The following is an 18,995-nucleotide window of genomic DNA, read 5'->3' as shown; positions in this document are numbered from 1 at the left end:
AGTCAGGGAAAGAAAAAAGGTACAAAGACCCTGAGGCGAGAACTTCCTTGGGATACGCAAGGAAGAGCTAAGAGGTTCTTGCGTTGGAATATGAAGGGAATAACAGATGAGGAACAGAAGGAACTAGGGTGCCAGATCATATGGGCCCTGCAAGCCTTTGTAAGGGGTCAGGCTTTTCTCTGGGTGAGATGGAAAGCCACTAAAGGCTTGTGAGTGGAGAAGTGACAGGATCACTCTGGAAGAGTAGCTGGGCATGTGTGTCAAAGTTTAATGTGATAAATATAAATGGTACTGAATGTATATATAAATTGTTCATGTGGTTCTATTCCATTTTTCTTTCCTTCTTGAAGGTGAGTCTCATGCCCTTTGGATTTTTTTCTATTAAGTCCGTATCTAAAATAATGTATTGAAAATGGATAATACATTTTACAGTGGACTTGATCAAAGTAAAAGTAATTCATGCATAGGTAACTAAGGTATCCCAGAAACTGACCTACATAGAATACTTACGGTTGATACCAGAAAAGATTACTTTAAGGGGAAACACACTGTCTTCAGATTTTTAAAGGGCTATCAGATAGAACCAGTCCTGCCGTTTAGTAACTTCTTTTTTTTATTTTAAAGTTGACAGGCCAGGCACGGTCGCTCACACCTGTAATCCCAGCACTTTGGGAGGCGGAGGTGGGTGGATCACGAGGTCAGGAGATCAAGACCATCCTGGCTAACACGATGAAACCCCGTCTCTACTAAAAATACAAAAAATTAGCCAGTGGTGGGCACCTGTAGTCCCAGCTACTCGGGAGGCTGACACAGGAGAATCGCTTGAACCCGGGAGGTGGAGGTTGCGGTGAGCCGAGATCGCGCCATTGCACTCCAGCCTGGGCAACAAGAGCAAAACTCCGTCTCAAACAAAAAAGAAATATTAATATGAGTTCGAGACCAGCCTGACCAACATGGAGAAACCCCATCTCTACTAAAAGTACAAAATTAGCCGGGCATGGTGGCGCATGCCTGTAATTCCAGCTATTTGGGGGCTGAGGCAGGAGAATCACTTGAACCTGGGAGGCAGAGGTTGCGGTGAGCCGAGAGCATGCCATTGCACTGCAGCCTGGGCAATAAGAGCGAAAACTCCGTCTCAAAAAAGAAAAGAAAAGAAAAGAAATATTAATATGACATTAAGTTGTAGGATGGATTGGAGGAAGAAACCCTAAGGACAAGACAAAAGTTAATGCCCTGGTTCAATATTCATACCTCATTCAACACTTTCCAGTTCATATTTGGGAAGGAATGTGGTATACTGGAAAGACCATAAGTTTTATAACTAGGTGTCCTGAGAAACAAATGTGAATAAGGCCATCACAGTCTAGCAGTTTATAATTTTTCCAGGGGGAACAGTGAAATACTAGTTGAAAACTGTTTTGTATTTTTTCTTCGTCACCCCACCCCCATATCATTGTGCAAATTGTTGCACATGTAGGATCAGAAGACACAAATGAGGGAATGTTATATTTTTAAACATGTATAGGAATTAATCTAGGAACTTACTGAATACCTTTGTGTTCCAGGTGCTTTCATATGGATTATTTCATTTGCTTTTTCACGATACATAACTCTATAAGTAAATGATGTTATTTCCGTTTAACAGATAAGAAGAATGAAACGAAGTGGTTAAATCATTATTCATAAGGGGCAAAAAAAAGATGAGTGTTTAAAACCCAAGTCCACCAAAATGAGTTTAATATTTAACCCACTATACTGCTACTGCCATGAGGTAGCTAAATGCATGTACCCATTTCTGGCACAAGTTAGCCTAAAGGGAAAGTAAGCCAAGTATAGTATCCATAGATTATTAGCATGTATCCATTTTGACCTCAGTGTTTTTATTTATGTATATATATACATACACATACACACACACTTATCTAACCTATAGAAAAAAAAGTGAATCCCTTTTTTTTTTTTTTTTTTTTGAGGTAGAGTCTCGCTTTGTTGCCCAGGCTGGAGGGCAGTGGCGCCATCTTGGCTCACTGCAGCCTCCACCTCCCAGGTTCAAGCAATTCTCTCTCTCAGCCTCCTGAGTAGCTGGGATTACAGGTACCCGCCACCAGGCCTGGCTAATATTTTTGTGTTTTTTGCAGAGATGGGATTTCACCATCTTGGCCAGGCTGGTGTTGAACTCCTGATCTTGTGATCCGCCTGCCTCGGCCTCCCAAACTGCTGGGATTACGGGAGTGAGACCACGCCCAGCCGACAAATCACTATTTAAACTTCAATATTAGCCCTGACGACAGTGGATTTTGTTGATATGCATGATCATGATTCCCAAATGATTAGTTACTGGTTTTACACTCACCCCAAGCTTATCAAAATTATTATCAGGAAGTAAACCCATCAACTTATTTAGCCCAAAGCTTCTCAAATTTGCATTAGTGTTTACCTAGGGATTACCTAGGGATCTTGTTAAAATGAAGATTATTTTCGGTAGGATTGGGGTGGGGCCTGGAAGTCTGCATGTCTGACTGCTTCAGGTGATGCTCACACTGCTGAGCCTGCACACTACACCTTTGGAGTACAAGCAAAGAATTTTAATTTTTGTCCCAAATACATAATTATTTATATAAAGGTAAAACTACAGTGTACACACTATTTATGGTCTGTGCTTTTTTACACTTAGCCTTTATCCCTGTTTTCTGCATAATTTTCATAATTATGATTTATATAAATCATAAAGTTAATGTAACATTATTAGGAATATATACCTATTCTCAGTTATTACCCCATTCTAAATAATACTGGATAGAATTCCTCTGGGCATATAGCTTTTGCTATTTAATTATTTCCTTAAGATAAATTCCCAGCCGGGCGCAGTGGCTCACGCCTGTAATCCCAGCACTTTGGGAGATCAAGGCAGGCAGATCACGAGGTCAGGAGATCGAGACCATCGTGGCTCACACAGTGAAACCCCGTGTCTACTAAAAATACAAAAAATTAGCCGGGCGTGGTGGCGGTCGCCTGTAGTCCCAGCTACTCGGGAGGCTGAGGCAGGAGAATGGCGTGAACCCGGGAGGCGGAGCTTGCAGTGAGCCTAGATCGCGCCACTGCACTCCAGCCTGGGCGACAGAGCAAGACTCTGTCTCAAAAAAAAAAAAAAAAAAGATAAATTCCCAGGAGCAATTACCAGGTCAAGGGGTAAGAATATCTTTGCTGTTTAATGGGTAAAATTTTGCAAGATGAAGAGTTCTAGAGATGGATAGTGATGAGAGTTGCACAACAACATGAATGCACTTAATGCCATTGAGTACCATTAAAAATGGTTATGATGGTAAATTTTATATTATGTGTATGAAAAAATGTTTAACTATAAAGGGAAGGGAGAAGCCCCGCCCCCTCGTGGAGACTGCCCAGTGGGCGGAGTCGGGCGCCGCCAGGCTGGCATCCGGAAGCCAGAAGTCCGGAGCCTAGCAGCACAAGAGCGTCTGTTACTCTCTCTTCTCAGATCCCCGCCGGAAGTATAGGAAGAGAGCAAGCGGATTCGAACCTATCTGCTTTCAAGCTGATCATGATGATGAAACTTAGAAACAAAAATGAAAAGCCAGGTAAAGTTTCCAAGGGCTGTAAGAAGCCTGCAAAACAAAATGGGAAGAAAGCAACCTCCAAAGTGCCCTCTGCTCCTCAGTTTGTTCACTCCAATGATCATGCCAATCGAGAGGCTGAAATAAAGAAGAGGGTTGAGGAGATGAGGGAGAAGCAGCAAGCTGCCCAGGAGCAAGAAAGACAAAAACGCAGGTCTATCAAGAGCTACTGTGAGGATATCCTAAGACGCCAGGAGGAGTTTCAGTGTAAGGAAGAAGTTTTGCAGGAATTAAATATGTTTCCTCAGCTGGATGACGAGGCCACTATGAAGGCTTATTACAAGGAGTCCGTGAGGTGGTAGAATACTCTGATGTGATTCTGGAAGTCCTGGATGCCAGAGACCCATTAGGCTGCTGCTGCTGCTTCCAAATGGGGGAGGCTATCCTATGGGCAGAAGGCAACAAGAAGCTGGTCCTGGTCTTGAAAAAGATTGACCTGGACCCCAAGGAGGTTGTGAAGTGGCTGGATTACCTTCGGAATGAGTTGCCAACTGTGGCTTTCAAGGCCAGGACCCAGCATCAGGTCAGCTTTGGAGCTGAAAACCTCATGAGGGTTCTGGGGAACTATTGCTGCCTTGGTGAAATGCGCACCCACATCCATATGGACATTGTAGGCCTTCCCAATATTGGGAAAAGCAGCCTGATTAAAAGCCTGAAGCACAGCCATGCATGCAGTGTGGGAGCCATTCCTGGGGTCACGAAATTCATGCAGGAGGTCTACCTGGACAAGTTCATCCGGCTGCTGGATGCTCCAGCCATTGTTCCAGGGCCCAGCTCAGAGGTGGGCACCATCCTGCATAACTGCATCCACATCTAGAGACTGGCAGACCCCATGACCCCAGTGGAGACCATCTTGCAGTGCTGCAACCTGGAGGAGATTTCCAACTATTACCTTCTCTCTGGGTACCAGACTACTGAGCACTTTCTGACAGCAGTGGCCCACCATTTGGGGAAGAAGAGAGACTTACACAGTCAGGAGCAGGCAGCCAAAACTGTCCTAGCTGACTGGGTGAGCGGGAAGATCAGCTTCTATAGACCACCACCACCCACTCACACTCTGCCTGCCCATCTCAGTGCTGAGAATTAAGGAAATGACCAAGTTCTTTGACATCGAGGATACCGAGCAAGTCAATGAAGACACCATGGAATGCTTGGCCACTGGAGAATCTGATGAGCTATTGGGTGACACAGACCCACTCAAAATGGAGATCAAGTTGCTCCATTCTCCGATGATGGAAATAGCAGATGCCATTGAAGATAAAGCTACTGTATATAAGATTGGAGATCTCACTGGTTATTGCACCAATCCGAATCGTCATCAGATGGGGTGGGCTAAACTCAATGTAGACCACCACCCTAAAAAAAAACAGTAAGGTGGATGTGTGCCCAGTGGACTGCTGCCCAGTACTGCAGAGGATCATGGAGATGGACCCCCTACAACAGGGCCAGGCTCTAGCATCCTCCCTGAAGAGTAAGAATTTACAGAAATGTGCAGATAAAATCCCCAGGGAGCTGTCTGATTCCATGATGTCTGCCCTCCACCTCTCTGGCAATGCTGATGGCAGTGTTGGTAACTAATTGACTGATCTCACTTCCCTTCCGATCCAAGCACCAGTTCCAGTGGGACGGGAGATTACCAGTGAAATAGTTTGGTTCTCCCTGAAGCATCTGCATATTAAAAGAACCCTTCCCCAACTATGTGTCTTTGCCTCCCACTGTTCTCTCCACTCTCTCCAGGAAAAAGAGTCCCAAGAGGCTGGAGCTGACAAACCCAATACCCTTTATTTAACCCCTACTCTGTTTTACAACAGAAATAAAAGAAGTATCAGCAGGAAAAAAAAAAAAGAATATGCCCCCCCAAAAAATATCATTACCCCCTCCCCAAAAAATACCATTCTTTTGAAAGGAATGGTTTTTGGGGGGTATTAGCCCCAAAAAAAATTCTTGGTGGGGTAGTCTTTTGAAAATAATGTTTTTTGGGAGTATATAATATACACCCCCCAAAAAATATTATTCTTTTGAAAAGAATGGTTGCATTAATAAACCATTTGCCCTTTTAGAAAGAATAGCCAAATTACACTGCCACCAACATGTTTACCTCACTTGTATCACTAATGTCTTACGTTTTTTTAATTTTTTGCTAAATGGTCTAAAATGATTCTTCAAGGTTGAAGTCTGTATTTTACTTCTATTAAGATTGAAAAGTAAACATTTACCCCTGTGGTTTTTTACTATTTGTATTTCCTCTTTTGTTAAATGTACATTCATGTCATTGGCCCTTGTTCTGTCAACGTTGAATATTTTCCTTAAATTTAAAAGAGCCCTTTTTATAGCATAATATTTTAAGTATTTCTCCTAGGCTTTGTTGTGTTTTAAATTCAGATTTCAGAGATGAGTAACCTTATTATTTTAATCCTACAGGTGAACTATGGAAAAGTTTGTAATAACAGTAAAAAAGGATTGAAATTCACTGTCTCCTGTGGCTGCAGTTCAGAATTTGTTTTTGTACCATATGGTAGCACCATTGCTGTTTATACAGTTTACTCAGGAGAACAGATAACTATGCTTAAGGGACATTATAAAACTGTTGACTGCTGTGTATTTCAGTCAAATTTCCAGGTAAGAGTGATACAGGAATTTAAAATGTTCAGCTAGCTAGCTTGCCAGACCAGTTATATGTAAAAGAATAAATTATGATTTTATTCTGAGGAGTTATGCTTTTAATCCACATTTGTAGTAGGATTTATTTAATAGAGAATAGCACAGCCTAGATTGTTAGACAGCATACAATGTATGAATGAATCAATATAATACTGTGCAACTTGATTGGTATAAATTCTGTTTCTTTTGCATATGACCTTCATTTATTTAACAACTGAAAATCTGTGGTGAATTAAAATAATTTCTTGAAACAATCTTTTGGGTAAGAAATAAAATATAGGCATTTAATCATAAAATATAATTTGTATATGTTGGTTTATGTATGTGTGGATGATCTATTCTTCCTTATTTTCTACCAATGGCTAGTAAAGGGAGGTTTTGAAGTTAATACAACCTATATAATTTCTTAAATACTCTGGCTTTTGTTTGTTTGTTTTACATCCAGATCTTTTCATATCACCAATGGAGCAGATGGTTTTTCATTTTTTCAGAGAACATTTGCACAAATTACCTCATGCACTTCTTTAAATGAGTATAACATTGCAAGATAGTTGGTATTTTCCCTGTTTTGTAGGTAAGGAAAATGAAACTCACGTAAGTTAAATACTGATAGAATGAACATTACAGATTATTAGAGCTCAAGGAGACTATCACTTTGAATCTCCTATTCATTCATTCATTAATACTGATTGCCTAATTTGTGCCTGACACTGTGCTGTAAGATATATAGACCTGATTTTTCAGCCAGTACATACCATTATGGCAGTATTCATTATTAAAATATATAAATATTTATATATCCTACTGGCTGGTAAACAGCTGCTGCACCAAGCCCCCAAGCGACCTCCAGCCTCAGCCCCTTCCCTGGGACCTCTTAGACGTCACCTTAACGCAGCAACTAAAAGGGGACCTACAAGACCCTACTCCAACCCTATAGCCAGTATCTCTTTTTATTAGTCAATAAGAAGGTATATCCCATTTGTTAAACATTTTTAGTGTTCTGAGAGAAGAAAACGAAAGCACCAGAGAGGTGACGTGACTTGCCCCTAACCTGCAAGTAGTTACTGATAAAGCATGTGTTTGTATTCAAAGAAATTCTTAAAACATTGTCCCTCCTTTCTTTGCAAAGTTACTTAGAGACACAGCCGAAATTTCATCCCAGGTACTCTAACCACAAATTATTTCTTTCTACCAAATTGGAGCTTCTCTAATAGGTGTGCCTAGAATGGATTAAAATCGTGACAATGGCTGCGCACAGTGGCTCATGCCTGTAATCCCAGCACTTTAGGAGGCCGAAAGCATCACTTGAGCCCAGGAGTTCCAGGCCAGCCTAGGTGACAGAATGAGGCCCTGTATTTACAAAAAATCAAAAAATCAGCCAGGTGTGGTGGTATATGCCTGTAGTCCCAGCTGTGCAGGAGGCTGAAGCAAGAGAATTGCTTGAGTCCAGGAGATTGAGTGAGCCGTGTTCACACCACTGCACTCCAACATGGGCAACAGAATATAAATTCATGAATCTAGGCTGGGATAAGTAAGTAAATTAATAAATTGAAAATTTGATGAGGAATGAGATATTTATATAATCTCAACATATCACCCTACAAAATATGAAGTACAAACTAAAAAGATTAATTTTACCCTGAAGGAGCCTGGCACATATCACCTTCATCGAATAATCTAAGTTAGCATCCCAGTTATGGGACATCACTTCTGTGATATTCCTGACCAAATTGTATCACTCAAATTTAATCATGAGGAAACATAAGACAAGCCAAATGTGAAGGGCAGTCTACAAAGTAACTGCTGTATATCCAAAATTATCAAAGTCAGAAAAGCCAAAGAGACTGAAGAACTGTTCCAGCTTGAAAACTAAAGAGACTTGACGACTAAGTGCAGCATGTGATTTTTAACTGGTCCCTTTTGCTATAAAGGACAGTATTGGAACAAATAATGAAACATGAATGTGGTCTTTAGATGGTGGTAATAATATGATTTTGTTGGTTACTTTGTAACTATAAGGGGAAGTACCCTTGTTCACAGGAAAAATACACTGAATTATTCAAGAGTAGTAAGGCCTAATGTTGGCAACTTACTCTCATATGATTCAAGGGGGAAAAGAAGTCTTTTGGACTGCACTTGTAACTTACATTTTGAGATTATTTTTTAAGAAAATCTAATTGCCCAAATGAACTCCTCCATCTATCACAGATACTTCAAGGCTTAATGTAAATCATTCTATCTAAGTGTTCTTTGTTAGTCATTCTAATTTAAATGTTGCTGCTTTCAATATCTCTTTCTTGAACATCTACAGAATTTCCTTTATGTCTTCACTGGGTGTGTTAGTACTTATTGTGAATTGCTCTATAAGCTTATCTGACCAAGTTATCTTGCGCATTACCTGGCCTTCTCAGGGGAGTAAAATTACTCAAGGGCACTGAACATATATATCTTTGCATCAGCCACAGTTAGTGTAACTTTATAGTCTAGATTTTGTAATACAGTCAACAAAATTTTGTTTTATTTAGGAAATTTGATAATGTATATCTAATAATTATTTAAATCTACATTTTCTATAAATTACTATATAATCTTATTTTCCCTTTTCCCACATCCTTACTTAGATAAAAAACACAATTATACCATGCCTCACATTGTTTTTGAGATGTACAATAATAAAAATAAATTGTATTAAACAGCAGAGGAAAAAAGCCAATATAACATATTTCTTCGGTTTTGTTGGGGAGGGGCATGAGCATTGTTCAGCCATAAGCAAACAGCATATCTGTAGACATTGACATAGGCTGTGCATCACCCCAAGCTTCCCCTTATGAAGTAAACTTCTCAACAGGCATGGGATATACATCTTCAAGCTCTTCTGTTGAATTGCAGCCAGTTAGGCAGCTGTAAGTTAAATAAAACTTTTTGAGAACTTGGCCTATTTTAGTAGACGCTCATATGGTTTCTTCACTGAAGTCTTTATTGAAGCTCAGTTATTTGGACACAGAAAGACAAACTATTTTTTTCTTTCTCTGACATTAGAAATATATGGATACTATAATTGATAAAACTGCTAGGATTTGGGGTGTGTTTGTAAAATTTTCACACCATTAGTAAGCTCTGACAAATCCTAATACTATTTTTAAATACAAAACAAAGCTTTACTAACAAAGAAACAAAGGAAAAACAGCATTGGCCTAGTTTCTTTAGGGAGTAGAAATAGCATTAATCTAATTATTATGACCTAATTATTTCAAAAATGATATAATTCATTTCAGTTTGATATCAGCTCTTGATCCACAGTATCATCTTTGCCTTCTATGTTATAGGAACTTTATAGTGGTAGCAGAGACTGCAACATTCTGGCTTGGGTTCCATCCTTATATGAACCAGTTCCTGATGATGATGAGGTAAATATTATTTTCACAAATGGTACAGTGACTTCTAAAGCTTAAGAAATAATGTTTTGTTACTTTATGTGAGAGAGACTTTTAAAGCATTTCTTGCCAGTGGCATGCACCTATAGTCCCAGGTACCTGGGAGACTGAGGCAAGATGATCACTTGAGCCCAGAAATCAAGACCAGCCTGGGCAATGTAGTGAGACCCCATCTCAGAACAACAACAACAAAAAAGCATTTCTTGGTAATTTCCGTAAAAATAATTTGACTATTTTAATACATTTGGAAAATTCAGAAAAATATCAAAAGAAGAACATAAAATTCCTCAAGTCAAATTAATCAATATTAACATTTTGATTTGTTTCATAACTGTTTTTTCCTATGCATATGTTTTTTAACATAGTTCATATCATGGTTGGACATTCAACTTGGTATCTCACTTTTCTCATTAACATTGTACAATAAGCCTTTTTTCATGTCATTAATAACTATGTGTAAACATTTCTAATGATATTCTGTCATTGATAAAAGCAATTCAAATATTTACCTACTTGGAGGCATTTCTGTTGATTATTGTAAACATCAAGGTAAATATCTGTTCAAAAATTGTTAATATTTCTGACTATGTCTTTAGATAGATTCCTAAAAGTGGAATTATCTCTTAAATTATTATATATCACTTTTTTTCTTTTCTTTTCTTTTTCTATTTTTATTTTTATTTTTATTTTTATTTTTATTTTTATTTTTTTGAGATGGAGTCTCAATCTGTCGCCCAGGCTGGAGTGCAGTGGCGTGATCTTGGCTCACTGCAACTTTTGCCTCCTGGGTTCAAGCAATTATCCTGCCTCAGCCTCCCAAGTAGTTGGGATTACAGGTACCCGCCACCACGCCTGGCTAATTTTTGTATTTTTAGTAGAGACGTGGTCTCACCATGTTTGTCAGGCTGGTCTTCAACTCCTGACCTCAAGTGATCCACCTGCCTTGGCCTCCCAAAGTGCTGGGATTACACGCATGAGCCACTACCCCTAGCCGACATTTTTAAGACTTTGTTCTCACGTCAAATTTTACCAGTTTACACTCCTACCAGCAGTCTGACAGTGCCTTTCGTAGAACATAAATCAGTATAAGCATGACAGTGTAAATAAAGACCTTAAAAACACAGTAGGTAAACAAAGATGAACAAGACCATTGTCCCTGACCTAAAGTAATAGCCTCTGTATTTTTTTTTAACTTTCACATCAAGCAGTAGGAAGATAGAGGCTGTTTAAAGGTGGTTTCTCTCCCACCAAGGTTTATTCTCCTAATAATCATCCTCATTTATCTTAATTTCTACAATATAAAAAGTCTAAAAGCAATGTCTAAAAACAATGTTTGTATATATATACATATATATATACATATAGTTCTTTAAGTTGGAAATATAAATAATGTAGTTGGAAACACCTTAAGGTAATCTTAACCAAGTCATAGTAAAAGCATCTTAAATGGAGGTGGAGGAAAAGTTATTGATAGAGCACGTTTGACATTCAAAAAACATTTTTCATATACTGTGTTTAGTTCCTTTATGAAAAAAGGACTATGTCAAAAACCACATGAAAATATAATTTGTATAGAGGTGGTTGATAGCATCTCACAGCTATTGACAATATATATTTCATACCTAAATTTTCAACTGCTAAGGTTTACTGCTGTGTAAACCTGTGAATTATTTTCTTTTGTCCTTAATCCAAATAAAGAGAAAAAAATACCTTTTGATAAATCTTTAAGTAGCTACCCAATGCCATATGCATACTTCCAGATTTTATCACGTCTAATTTGGTTTATTGTGGCTTGATTAACTTTAGCATACAGCTGCTTTTGGTGTCAGAATATTCTTCTGTATAAAGCTTAATATGGTCAAATAATTAGGTTTAGCCATTTATTTTACATTTCTTTATGTAATTATTGTGTCCTGCTCTTTGGGAATTGCTGTATACATTAAACCCAAGTTAACACTGTAAGCCATGTTAGGAAATATAACATTTTATTTACCAAATGAAAACAGTAAAAATAAATGAAAAGTAAATCTATAGTGACTTATGTATAGAAAAGGATGTTAGAAGAATACTAAATTGTTTAATTCTTAAAGATAATATGTGGCCAGGTGTGGTGGCTCACATCTGTAATCCCAGCACTTTGAGAGGCTGAGGTGGGAGAATCTCTTGAGTCCAGGAGTTCAAGACCAGCCTACGCAACATAGAAAGACCCCATCTCTACAAAAAATAGACAAAATTAGCCAGGTTTGGTGGCTTTACACTTATAGTTCCAGCTACTTAAGAGGGTGAGGTGGGAGGATCACTGAGCCCAAGAGTTCAAGGCTACAGTGAGCCACAATTGCACCACTATACTCCAGCCTGGGTGACAGAGTGAGATCTTGACTCAAAGGAAAAAAAAAAAGATAATATGTGACTGATGGTTTATTTCCTTGTTATGTCGTTATAGTGATAGTTTGAACTCTTCGTGTAAACAAACTTTTGTATATGAGAAATTAAGCAAAACAAGTTAGAAAATCACATAGAGATATACAAATATCAAGTTGAGTTTTGTATTTGTTTTAGAGCTATAAAACCTTACCTTTTAAAATGTCATGTTCATATATTTTAAGATAGCAGTCATTCTCATATTAATATAAAATGGTATGTGCTAAAGTAATTTCCATAAAATTTTAGTTTGAAGCATTCCTGTGAATATAGGCAGAACATGAATGTGATCATGATGCAGATCCCAGTAGAATAGTCTGTCCAGAAGATCCTATTCCTTACATGTATGTTTATAATTTAAGCCATGTTTAAAAGTGCTTTTATCCCAACTACAAAATAAGTATATTTATTTGATATTTATTTCCCAAGGAGGCAGTATACCACACTAGAAAACAAAAAAAAAAAAAACACATACACACATATACATACACATAGTCTTTTTTTTTTTTTTTTTTTGAGAAGGAGTCTGGCTCTGTCACCCAGGCTGGAGTGCAGTGGCACAATCTCGGTTCACTGCAAGCTCCGCCTCCTGGGTTCACGCCATTCTCCTGCCTCAGCCTCCCGAGTAGCTGGGACTACAGGCGCCCACCACCACGCCCAGCTAATTTTTTGTATTTTTAGTAGAGATGGGGTTTCACAATTCACAGGATGGTCTCGATCTCCTGACCTCATGATCCACCCGCCTCGGCCTCCCAAAGTCCTGGGATTACAGGCTTGAGCCACCACCCTCAGCCCACATACTTAGTCTTTAGCTTCAGGAAACTGGGTTTGAATCCCAGTTCTGCCATTTATTCTACTTATGATCTGGGACAAGCTTATAATATTTCCAAATATCAGAATTGTCTAATCAAAGTTATTCTTAGGTTTCCTTTCAAATGCATTCTTCAGATGAGAGTTACCTCCCCATCAATCAAGATGTAATCCCTTAGGGGTGTTTCTCCTGATATCCAAAGTAGAAGATGAATTTAATTCTATCTAAAGAAAGGAAGAACACTGGATGATAGGGACAGGATTTATGGTCTTTAACTATAAATCCTTTTATTTAGTTGGCAGACTGTTTTATTATATTTTGAGGAATCTGGCTTCCTTTTGACCCTCCTTTCTAAAAGCTGGTCTGGTCAAGACAAGCCTATCTATAACTCCTAATTACTTTTTCCTGCCTGAGATCTATAGGGCAGGTTTATTCCAGTTTAAACCTGACCTCTCACTAAGAATCTTACTTTGTTTTGACATTCACACAATACATAACTGTTTTACATATCACTTGTGTCAATGTATAATCACTTGCTGACAACCTGAGAGTTGCCACTAATTACCAGTCAGAAATTTGAAAGTTATCAAGAAATATCCTTGTAGATGTTAAGTTTGGTTCTATTCCTTCTCTAAACTCATAACTAGGTCCCCTCTAAACTCATGCTTCATTATTTCTATAACATTGACACTATCTGTCAGTAGAATTGACAACCTGGTGAGATATAGATGAATATGTTCAAGCACAGACTGCATGTCCACTAGGAGGAGATGTTGCAGAGAAAACTGAAATAATAGTAGTGACACTTGATCAGTGGGTCTCAAATGGTAATGTGTACCACATCCATCTACAACATTTTTACTGCTGCTTTATCATACTACCAGTATAATATTTATTTGTGATTGTTTTGGCAATAAAATGTATTTCTAAAATACTGTAATGCATTCATATATCATTATTTCACTGAAAAGTGAAATAATTTGTATGCAACTGATTATGATTTTCATTTATTTTTGTTTCTTTGCTTACCATACAAAAATAATTTATGATGAAGTATAATTTTGCTTTTCTGTTGAGTTTTCAACTGAAATTAAAATTTTTAATAGGTTACACACTGGGCTTCCATAGTAGGATTAGGAAGCATGGCCCTCATGTGGCTTATCCACCTACAGACATGTGTGTGTGTGTGTGTGTGTGTGTGTGTGTGTGTTTTCCCAGGGCTATTTTTGGTAGTTATCAAAGGCAAGTTAAAGGCTTCTAGAGACAGAGTAGGGAAGAGGAGTCAGCTAACCCCCAATGACAAGATGTCTTTTAATAAACTCTCACTAAATAACCTAATTTAATAGTCAAATTGACAACCCAAAAAGACAGGAAATTCAGTAAACATTTGGATGAAAGACAAAATGAACAGACTTCAGTATACAACTGTTGCAAATAAGTGTACCGTGGCTAGAAATCAGTGAGTAGTTACCTGAGGTTTAATAATAGTTTCGTGCCCAGGAGTGGTGGCTCACGCCTGTAATCCCAGCACTTTGGGAGGCCAAGGCTGGCAGATCACAAGATCTGGAGTTCAAGACCAGCCTAGCCAATATGGTGAAACCCCATCTCTACTAAAAATACAAAAATTCGCCGGTGGCATGCGCCTGTAGTCACAGCTACTTAGGAAGCTGAGGCAGAAGACTCACTTGAACCTGGGGGGCAGAGGTTGCAGAGAGCCAAGATCATGCCACTGCACTCCAGCCTGGGTGACAGAGCAAGACTCCATCTCAAATAATAATAATAATAGTTTCGCTTCTGGACATTTGGAGTATAGCTGACATTAAGTTTAATAATGTAATCTGTTTAACAATAAAGAATGCCTAAATTAATATATTGTTTTCCAGCTCTTCTAGCTGATACTTGGAAAATGTACTAGGAACACGTAACTTTTTCTACTGTTTTCATTGATTGAATTCTAAGATTCAAAGTTATCATATTCATCAAAAGGAAAATGAACATTCTCAGACATGCAGTAGGGGTTACCATTAAAAAATGTTTCTAAGCCGGGCGCAGTGGCTCACGCCTGTAATCCCAGCACTCTGGGAGGCTGAGGTAGGCAGATCACGAGATCAGGAGATCGAGATCATCCTGGCTAACACGGTGAAACCCCGTCTCTACTAAAAATACAAAAAACTAGGTGGAGCCAAGATGGCCGAATAGGAACAGCTCCAGTCTGCAGCTCCCAGCGTGAGCAATGCAGAAGACAGGTGATTTATGCATTTCCAACTGAGGTACCAGGTTCATCTCACTGGGGAGTGTCGGACAGTGGGTGCAGGACAGTGGGTGCAGCGCACTGAGCATGAGCCAAAGCAGGGTGAGGCATCGCCTCACCTGGGAAGCACAAGGGGTCAGGGAATTCCCTTTCTTAGTCACAGAAAGGGGTGACAGACGGCACCTGGAAAATCGGGTCACTCCCACCCTAATACTGCACTTTTCCAATGGTCTTAGCAAACAGCACACCAGGAGATTATATCCTGCGCCTGGCTCGGAGGGTCCGACGCCCACAGAGCCTCGCCCATTGCTAGCACAGCAGTCTGAGATCAAACTGCAAGGCGGCAGCCAGGCTGGGGGAGGGGCGCCCGCCATTGCTGAGGCTTGAGTAGGTAAACAAAGCGGCTGGGAAGATCAAACTGGGTGGAGCCCACCACAGCTCAAGGAGGCCTGCCGGCCTCTGTAGACTTCACCTCTGGGGGCACGGCATAGCCAAACAAAAGGCAGCAGAAACCTCTGCAGACTTAAATGTCCCTGTCTGACAGCTTTGAAGAGAATAGTGGTTCTCCCAGCACGCAGCTGGAGATCTGAGAACAGACAGACTGCCTCCTCAAGTGGGTCCCTGATGCCGAGTAGCCTAACTGTGAGGCACCCCCCAGTAGGGGCAGACTGACACCTCACAGAGCCAGGTGCACCTCTGAGACAAAACTCCCAGAGGAACGATCAGCTAGCAACATTTGCTATTCACCAATATCCACTGTTCTGCAGTCTCTGAGCTGATAGCCAGGCAAACGGTCTGGAGGGGACCTCCAGCAAACTTCAACAGACCTGTTGCTGAGGGTCCTGACTGTTAGAAGGAAAACTAACAAGCAGAAAGGACATCCACACCAAAACCCCATCTGTACGTCACCATCATCAAAGACCAAAGGTAGATAAAACCACAAAGATGGGGAAAAAACAGAGCAGAAAAACTGGAAACTCTAAAAGTCAGAGCACCTCTCCTCCTCCAAAGGAACGCAGCTCCTCACCAGCAACAGAACAAACTGGATGGAGAATGACATTGACGAGTTGAGAAAAAAGGGCTTCAGACGATCAAACTACTCCGGGCTAAAGGAGGAAGTTTGAACCCATGGCAAAGAAGTTAAAAACCTTGAAAAAAAATTAGACAAATGGCTAACTAGAATAACCAATGCAGACAAGTCCTTTAACGACCTGATGGAGCTGAAAACCATGGCACGAGAACTACGTGATGAATGTTCAAGCCTCAGTAGCTGATTTGATCAACTGGAAGAAAGGGTATCAGTGATGGAAGATCAAATGAATGAAATGAAGTGAGAAGAGAAGTTTAGAGAAAAAAGAATAAAAAGAAATGAACAAAGCCTCCAAGAAATATGGGACTATGTGAAAAGACCAAATCTACATCTGATTGGTGTACCTGAAAGTGACGGGGAGAATGGAACCAAGTTGGAAAACACTCTGCAGGATATTATCCAGGAGAACTTCCCCAATCTAGCAAGTCAGGCCAACATTCAAATTCAGAAAAACAGAGAATGCCACAAAGATACTCCTCGAGAAGAGCAACTCCAAGACACATAATTGTCAGATTCACTAAAGCTGAAATGAAGGAAAAAATGTTAAGGGCAGCCAGAGAGAAAGGTCGGGTTACCCACAAACGGAACCCCATCAGACTAACAGCAGATCTCTTGGCAGAAACTCTACAAGCCAGAAGAGAGTGGGGGCCAATATTCAACATTCTTAAAGAGAAGAATTTTCAACCCAGAATTTCATATCCAGCCAAACTAAGCTTCGTAAGTGAAGGAGAAATAAAATCCTTCACAGACAAGCAAATGCTGAGAGATTTTGTCACCACCAGGCCTGCCCTAAAAGAGCTCCTGAAGGAAGCACTAAACATGGAAAGGAACAACCGGTACCAGCCACTGCAAAAACATGCCAAATTGTAAAGACCATCAAGGCTAGGAAGAAACTGCATCAACTAACGAGCAAAATAACCAGCTAATGTCATCATGACAGGATCAAATTCACACATAACAATATTAACCTTAAATGTAAATGGGCTAACTGCTCCAATTAAAAGACACAGACTGGCAAATTGGATAAAGAGTCAAGACCCATCAGTGTGCTGTATTCAGGAAACCCATCTCACGTGGAGAGACACACATAGGCTGAAAATAAAGGGATGGAGGAAGATCTACCAAGCAAATGGAAAACAAAAAAAGGCAGAGGTTGTAATCCTAGTCTCTGATAAAACAGACTTTAAACCAACAAAGATCAAAAGAGACAAGGCCATTACATAATGGTAAAGGGATCAATTCAACAAGAAGAGCTAACTATCCTAAATATATATGCACCCAATACAGGAGCACCCAGATTCATAAAACAAGTCCTTAGAGACCTAAAAAGAGACTTAGACTCCCACACAATAATAATGGGAGACTTTAACACCCCACTGTCAACATTAGACAGATCAACAAGACAGAAAGTTAACAAGGATATCCAGGAATTGAACTCAGCTCTGCACCAAGCAGACCTAATAGACATCTACAGAACTCTCCACCCCAAATCAACAGAGTATACATTCTTTTCAGCACCACACCACACCTATTCCAAAATTGACCACATAGTTGGAAGTAAAGCTCTCCTCAGCAAATGTAAAAGAACAGAAATTATAGCAAACGGTCTTTCAGACCCCAGTGCAATCAAACTAGAACTCAGGATTAAGAAACTCACTCAAAACCGCTCAACTACATGGAAACTGAACAACCTCCTCCTGAATGACTACTGGGTACATAACGAAATGAAGGCAGAAATAAAGATGTTCTTTGAAACCAACGAGACCAAAGACACAACATACCAGAATCTCTGAGACACATTCAAAGCAGTGTGTAGAGGGCAATTTATAGCACTAAATGCCCACAAGAGAAAGCAGGAAAGATCTAAAATGGACACCCTAACATCACAATTAAAAGAACTAGAGAAGCAAGAGCAAACACATTCAAAAGCTAGCAGAAGGTAAGAAATAACTAAGGTCAGAGCAGAACTGAAGGAAATAGAGACACAAAAAACCCTTCAAAAAATCAGTGAATCCAGGAGCTGGTTTTTGTAAAAGATCAACAAAATTGATAGACCACTAGCAAGAGTAATAAAGAAGAAAAGAGAGCAGAATCAAATAGACGCAAAAAAAATGATAAAGGGGATATCACCACCAATCCCACAGAAATACAAACTACCATCAGAATACTATAAACACCTCTATGCAAATAAACTAGAAAATCTAGAAGAAATGGATAAATTCCTGGACACATACACCCTCCCAAGACTAAACGAGGAAGAAGTTGAATCTCTGAATAGACCAATAACAGGCTCTGAAATTGAGGCAATCATTGATAGCTTACCAACCAAAAAAAGTCCAGGACCAGATGGATTGACAGCCGAATTCTACCAGAGGTACAAGGAGGAGCTGGTACCATTCCTTCTGAAACTATTCCAATCAATAGAAAAAGAGGGAATCCTCCCTAACTCATTTGATGAGGTCAGCATCATCCTGATACCAAAGCCTGGCAGAGACACAACAAAAAAAGAGAATTTTACACCAATATCTCTGATGAGCATCAATGCAAAAATCCTTAATAAAATACTGGCAAACTGAATCCAGCAGCACATCAAAAAGCTTATCCACCATGAACAAGTGGGCTTCATCCCTGGGATGCAAGGCTAGTTCAACATACACAAATCAATAAACGTAATCGAGCATATAAACAGAACCAA

At 39.6% G+C, this 18,995-nt stretch overlaps 1 protein-coding gene and 1 pseudogene across 3 annotated transcripts in view; both read left to right on the top strand.

Moving 5' to 3' along the window:
* Positions 1 to 18,995, top strand: part of ERCC8 (ERCC excision repair 8, CSA ubiquitin ligase complex subunit) — a 78,617-nt gene that overhangs the window by 47,931 nt on the left and 11,691 nt on the right. For all 3 annotated transcript variants that reach the window (NM_001290285.2, NM_000082.4, NM_001007233.3), the window contains 2 exons: positions 6,054 to 6,251; positions 9,620 to 9,700. In NM_001290285.2, coding sequence (NP_001277214.1) covers positions 6,054 to 6,251; positions 9,620 to 9,700 — 279 coding nt within the window. The remainder of the gene's footprint in view (positions 1 to 6,053; positions 6,252 to 9,619; positions 9,701 to 18,995) is intronic.
* GNL3LP1 (G protein nucleolar 3 like pseudogene 1) lies at positions 3,478 to 5,464 on the top strand (annotated as a pseudogene).

This window comes from Homo sapiens, chromosome 5 (genome assembly GCF_000001405.40).
Source record: "Homo sapiens chromosome 5, GRCh38.p14 Primary Assembly".
In the NCBI taxonomy this organism is placed as follows: domain Eukaryota; kingdom Metazoa; phylum Chordata; class Mammalia; order Primates; family Hominidae; genus Homo; species Homo sapiens.
Note: the sequence above shows the minus strand (reverse complement) of the source record. Positions and strands in the feature narration are given on the sequence as shown.